Raw genomic sequence first — 6,519 nt, forward strand, 5'->3', positions numbered from 1 at the left:
GTCAGACAGCACAGTCCCTCAGGCACCTGCCTCAGGCAGGCCACAGGAGCCACCAGGGCCACCAAAGGTGGTAGGGACAGCATGTGTGTGTGTGTGTGTGTGTGTGTGAGTGTGTGTGTGTGTGTGTGTGTGTGAGTGTGTGTGTGTGTGTAGGAAAGACCACCAACTGGGAAGGAGTCCACTTCACCTGGCCTGGACATATGGAATCTACTCAAGGGTGGCCCCATCAGCTCTTCCACGCCAGAGTTCACAACCTCTCTTTCTGGGTTGACTCCTGGCAGGCCAGGGTTCTCCCAGCCATTCCTCACCCACTCCTCCCTCACTGTCCAGGGACCCTGAGCTTTGAGCCCTGACCCTAGCCAAAAAAAAAAAAAAAAAAAAAAAAAAAAAAAAAAGGAGGCTTCTCTGGGTCATCTACACTTTTAGAGACCATCTATCTTAGATCCAGTGGAATGGATTTGGCTGCTGCTTAACTGGTCTAGCCTGGGTTGGGTGCACCTCTCAGCCTGGGGTGGTGGGCAGGGCTCAGTGGTGGGAGGCGGGGGGGCTCAGTCTGAGTTAAGGGTGGGGCAGGGGTGGGGCTCAGCCCGGGACAGGGCTCAACTTGGGATTAGAGGGGAGAATCAGTTTGTAGCATTATTGGTTTGTGGCCAAAATAAGGGAACTGACCATTGGTCTTACTTTTTTCACCCGCGAAATGGGATTAATTAACTTGCATTTCTAGAATGTTATGGGATCCTAAGAAACAGAGATTGTGAAAGTGCCTTGCAAACCATATGGCGCCCCTTCTGGGTCTTGCTGTGGTCACTATGAGCAGAGTGGCAGTCTGGGTGCTGATGCTGAAACCAAGCTTGCCACCCTAGTGGAGACACTTCCCTGGCTTATCCCGTCCAGCTCGGCTCTGAGCTCCCCTCTCCCCTTCTCCATTCTCATTGTCACATCCTCTCTCCTCTCCTACTACCTGTCAAGATTGGCATCTCTTTAATTATAATGTCTGTGTGTTTCTTTAGGAGCCATGTAATTCCCCCTGACGGCCACCTATTTAAAATGAAAGTCAAACACTCAGAACTTTGTTTAAGAGTTGAGTCTTGGGGAAAAAAAATGCATTAATTGCCAAATGTTGCTAATTTCACTCTGATTTGGTGCAAAAAGAATACACACACACACACACACACACACACACACACGAGTACTGATGAAACTGACATGAGTCCAAGGATAGCATCTGGATGTCAAAGCCCTAAGCTCATCCAAACCCCTCTGTCATTTCTCAGATGAAGAAACCAGGACCCAGAGAGGTTAAATGACTTGCTGAAGGTAGCCCAGGCATAGGCAATGGAACCAAGGCTCAGCTGATGCCCGCAGGCTCCATGTGGCCTTCAGGCAGCAGCTGGTTGACCAGGGAACAAAAGACAAAAGCCCTGCATTCCTTGCACATATCAGCATGTCAGGCCATCTGGGCCGCTGCCCGCCCTGCAGGGCTGCTGTGTTTGCAAGTGTTGCCTGCCAGGGGGCCTTGCCTGGGACAAGGGGCCTGGGGAGACCCTCTTCTGAGGCTGGGGATCTGTCCCTTGGTAATCAGAACATATAGGCACAGTCCTCCCTGAGCAACCATCTGTGGAGGCTCAGCTGTGAGGCACAGGCACCAAAGGCCTTTGCCGACAATCAAAACTTGTCCCAGGACGGAGCTGGGAAGAGGGCCTGAAGCAGGCAAGGCAGCTTGCAGAAGGCTCCAGCCCTGGCTGGATGTGCCCTCACAGCCTCTCGGTGGGGAAAGGCAACTTGGTGGAGCGCCACAGGGAAATGTTTGGGCACTACCCTGCAATGATCGAAGCACCACTTCTGAACTCGGCCAGTTCTCAGATCAGATCTCCGCTAGACCTCTTCCTTACTGAGCACCTTGAGGAGCTGTGGAACCTCTCTGCATTACTGATTCTGCATCTGGCCCACATGATCAATACTATGGATTACTCAGAGTTGGTTGAAGGGGCGTCTAATGAGTGAATATGTGCTGTGTACCAGCCCAGGGCACACACACTCTACACACTGCTCCCACCTCTTCCCCAAAAAGGAAGCAGAGGGTTAGGCCAGGAAGAGCAAAACAGGGGCCCAAGAGCCTTGTTTGGCCACAGTCTTGTTTGTGGGCTTGCATGTGCTGCTATAAAAATGTAATTTAAAGGCCTCTTGGACAAGACCTGAGCTCCCAGAGCATCCTGGTACCCACCAGTCCCTGGAGGCTCACAGCTGGCCACTTCATTCATGCCTATCTGTTACTCTGCAACTCCTAGAGAAACCCTCTGCATAGCTCTGAAAGATGAAAGTCTGTGCTCACCCCTAGCCCTCTCCAAACCCAGCCAAAACCCCACGTGCCTTCTTTGCCCCAGCTCTGATAATATAGTGTTTAAAATCCAGTCCATGTCCAGCTTTCCACTGAACTAGGAGCACCTAGACGTGAGGCGCCACATGCTACCCCTACATGAGAAGAGGTAGGCTCTTGGTAAATATATTTACTCATTCGACAAAGAGGTGTTGCAGCTAGGCTCTGAAGACACAGCTGTGAACAGTTTTGACAAGAGCCAAGTCTTCCCAGAGCTTAAGGACAATTAACACTTCAATAAACAAGATGGCTTAAGATGGAGAAGATAAAACAGGGTGATGTGCTGGGCCAGAGTCGGTGAATGAATGAATGGGCAAATAGCAAGAATGCAATTTTCAGTCCAACAACACAATAGGAAAATGTTATTGCCTCTAACAGGTAGGAAGATGAACCAGTGAAGAAGATACTAGTATTAGTCCCATGGTCCCAGTGAGGAATCAAAAGTATGGGGTCATACCTAGGGTCTAATCAGCCCTCTGAGTAGAAGGGCAGGGGATATACCAACTCCTCAGATAAAGAAAAATTATCTCAAAGCAGCCACCTTTTAAAAGTGTCTACTGCCAAGCTTCTGCCAGACACTTTACCCACAGGATCCTCTAGACAACTGTCTGATCATCTTTATAGGTAAGGCCATCAAGGCTCAGAGACTTGCTCAAGATCACCCAGCTGGAAAGTGGCAAGTCTGGCTGGCTCCAAGCACTGTGTGCTTTCTGGAATAGTGGGTGCCCCCAGCCACAGAGCCATACCACCCAACTTCTCAGCCTTCCAAAGAGAGCTGCCCTGAGGACCCAATCAGCCCACAGCCTGCAGCTGCTGTGCCTGCAAAACCTGCCAAGTAGCCAGGCTGAGGCCACACTCTGCTAGCCAAAAGCCCAGTGTGGCAGCAGTACCAGGGCCTGGGCATTCCTGCTCAGCTTGGGGCTCCTCTGTGGACAGTCTATCAGGGAGTCCCACTGGGCCGGAGAGATTTTCTCAGAGCTGTGCTGCAGGCTAACACTCTTCTTACCCAATCTGCCTGCCTTATTCTCTCTTCTTAGAAGGCTCAAACCCACAGTATGGTCTCAGGCAATCCCCACCCACTCCTGCTCCTTCTCCTCTGGATTTCTTGCAGGTGATTCCTGCCATAAATCCCTTGCACTTCTTGCTCCGTCATCTTGGCATCTGCTTTTCAGTGTTCCTAACTGGCACGACACATCATCCAAACCACAAGGAAGACTTCTCAGTTATGGAATCATGCAGTACATGGCATATGAGGGTGGCTCCTCTGTGCTTCTAAGGTTCCAGTGGTGGAGAAACCTCTGACAGCTAAAGCCTGGAGCCCTCTGACCATTTGCACAGCAGCCTGGCTCAGGGGAGCAGGTCCAGGCTGAGAGTCAGACAGGGCTTGGTGTCCCTGCAGCAGCTCCTTCGGCTCTCTGGGCCTCAGTCTTCCTCATCTATAAAATAGGCGTGCTGACACTTTCCCCGTAGTACTGTCTTAAGAACTGGATAAAGCACCTGCTTTGAAGGTCAGATAACCAGGAGTGTGGGATTTTAGATCCATGTCACTAGAGTCTAGATGATCAGAGTTGGAAAATGTCATAGAGCCCTACATTTTCATTATTTGTGTAGGGAACTGGGAACATGGAAGGGAAGATCTTAGGCAAGCAGGGACGGCAGGCCACAGCAGAGGCAGGCCAGGTCCCGTGGCCCAGCCCGGAGCCTCAGAATGCCTTCCATTCCCATTCAGCACCAGCTTTGCCCGCAACCACAGGGAGCCCAGGCCAGGATCCCAACCTCCCCCCTTTCCCCAGGCAACCCAGGGGGCATGGTGGGACCAGAGGGAGAACCCAGTAAGACCTGGCATTAACATGAAGACTATCTGTGGGCAGTCAGAGGCGCCCAGCCTGCAACAGAGGCCAAAGGGCAGGCGAAGGTGGAGGAGGCGGGGTGCTTTTTCTCCGCTGGTCCCATCACTGCTAATGTGGTCTCAGGGCCTCCTCTCTGGAAGAGCAAACTGACCTCCGGAGAAAACAGTTGGAACAGGAAAAACAGAGAGATGCCAGGGACCCAAGGGGCACTCAGAGACAGGGTCAGCCCTTATTGGAGTTAGAGAGGCAGACAGAAGACAGAGAGGCCCAGGGATGGAGAGGGGAAGTGCAAAACAGATGGCCGGGGAGGGATGCGGAGGAGAGGCGGAGGTGTGCGCTGGGGGAGAGGACTACCGACGGCGCTGGCGGTCGGGATGGGCTGGAGCGGGCTGCAGTCGGGGCTGCATCGCCGGGTCCCAGCATAGCGCAGGCTCGGCGCCGCACCCGCAGCCTTTGTCCTGAGCTGCAGAGGGTTCCCGCGGGCCGCCAGCGCCCCCTGCCGCCCCCAGAGCGCCGCGCCGCAGCCGAGCGGCCCCTAGCTGTGCAGAGGGGACCGAGCCCGAGAAGGGACCGAGCCCGAGAGGGGACCGCGAGGGCGGGAGGGAAGCTCCGCGAGCCGGCGCCAGCGCCACGGCCCAAACCCCAGCCTCTACAGGTGCTCACTGCGCGACTGCCTGTCCCAGGCGCTCGGGCTGGGCGCCCTCTCTAGGGCCTGGGAGCAGCGTGAGTCCCGGGGGCGGCCCGGCATGGGCCTCCCACCCCAGGAGACGCCCTTCTGGCCTGGCCCTCCCAGTCGCCTGGGCAGGACTCGGATGCCCGCGGGCTGCAAACCTCTCCCCCGTGAACCCAGCAGGGAGGCCGGGGAGGCACGCTGCTCCCCCTCTCAGCCTTGCCCAGTGTCCAGACCTTTCAAAAGAAGCCAGAAAATTCACGTTTGCTTGGGAATCCCACAATTCAATAGCTTTTCAAAACAGTGCGGGAAGAAAAGTGGGTTTGGCCCACCAGCAGCCGGCGGGCACCCTCCCAGCCTCTTCACGGACTCTCCTTCAGGTTTTGGGCGCCCGGCCCCACTAGAGTCATGTGGGCATTTCCTTCAGATCTTCCTCCACTTAAATACACTTATTGAAAAAGAAAACTCCTTTTCTCTTTCCCTATAGTAATTAGAAACTCAGCGTCCTGTGGTGTAAAAGCCAGGTAGCCTCGGAAGTGAAACAGGGCAATTAGAACAGACACAGGGCCTGTTCCGCCCCACCCTGCTGCATCTGGTGGACAAGCCCCCGGGGCTGCTGATGACCCATGCCCTCTGACCTCAGGGGAGGGGCGGGCCGACGACAGGCCTTTCTAGAAGGGCCCTACAAGCGGCTTCAGGGAGTCTGGGAACCAAAGCAGCCACCCTGTCCATGGCACTGTCCGCCCCTGGCACCACGGCCCCACCGGGAGTGGAAGCCGCCAGGTGAGGCAGGGGTGGTTCCCTTCCCCGGGGAACAATGTGCAGAAGGCATCGGTGCCTGCCAGAGAGGAAGTGGGGAGGTGGGGAGACAGAGCACAGAGAGTGACTCAGACCCGAGGGCGAACCAGAAGCTGCCCGGAGATTCCCACTGTATGGCTTCCTGCAGGATTCAGCTGTGGAGACTGAAGCCGGAGGGCCTGGGGGGAGCCGCAGGAAGCGGGTGGGCGGGGGCCGTCTGCCCCTGGACACTCAGGACAGCCTGGCTCACCACGGGGGAGGAGAAGCCAATGGAGACAGCGGGGACCAAGAGGGAGGGGGTGGATGGGGAGCCTGGGGAGGAGCGGAGGGACCCAGGTCCCCTGCCTTACAGGACGACCAGCACAGGTTCCAGGTCTCCAGCCAGCTACAGGGCTTCTTAACACACAGCACTCCCTGCTTCGAGCCTTCCGGGAGGCCCCCAATCCAGGATCAAGACCCAGCCCCGTCACGGCCTGGCTCACGAGGCCCCACTTCAACTGCCCCTGACCTCTCTGCGCCCCCTGCTCCCGCCAGCCCTGCCGGCCGCTGCCCTGGAGAAGGAGCTGCAGATGGATCCCCAGTGAGTAGGAGGCAGCCGTGTGAGTCAGGCAGCGGAGGGAACGGGCTGCATCGCGGAGAGGAGGTGCGAAGCAGCGCGCCGTTTCCGGGCTCTGGAAGCCGAGCTGCCGAGGCGTAAGCTGGGAGGTGGACATGACGGGGGAGTGGGGAAGGGCAGGCGGCGGGACGGCCACACAGCGGAATATTATGCAACTTATAAAAAATTTAATTACCTGCCTACCAATAGACTTAAAGGGATTTCTATA

At 55.8% G+C, this 6,519-nt stretch overlaps 2 annotated features.

Annotated features, from left to right (window-relative positions):
* Nucleotides 1,545–2,065: an enhancer, noted in NCBI's record as "NANOG-H3K4me1 hESC enhancer chr3:127171391-127171911 (GRCh37/hg19 assembly coordinates)". NCBI's record gives its function as "activates a minimal SCP1, AML or CMV promoter by ChIP-STARR-seq in primed H9 embryonic stem cells {active_cell/tissue: H9 hESC(primed)}" and the evidence as "EXISTENCE:reporter gene assay evidence [ECO:0000049][PMID:30033119]".
* Nucleotides 4,592–5,021: a silencer, noted in NCBI's record as "silent region_14686". NCBI's record gives its function as "represses an Ori minimal core promoter by ATAC-STARR-seq in GM12878 lymphoblastoid cells {active_cell/tissue: GM12878}" and the evidence as "EXISTENCE:reporter gene assay evidence [ECO:0000049][PMID:35858748]".

This window comes from Homo sapiens, chromosome 3 (genome assembly GCF_000001405.40).
Source record: "Homo sapiens chromosome 3, GRCh38.p14 Primary Assembly".
In the NCBI taxonomy this organism is placed as follows: domain Eukaryota; kingdom Metazoa; phylum Chordata; class Mammalia; order Primates; family Hominidae; genus Homo; species Homo sapiens.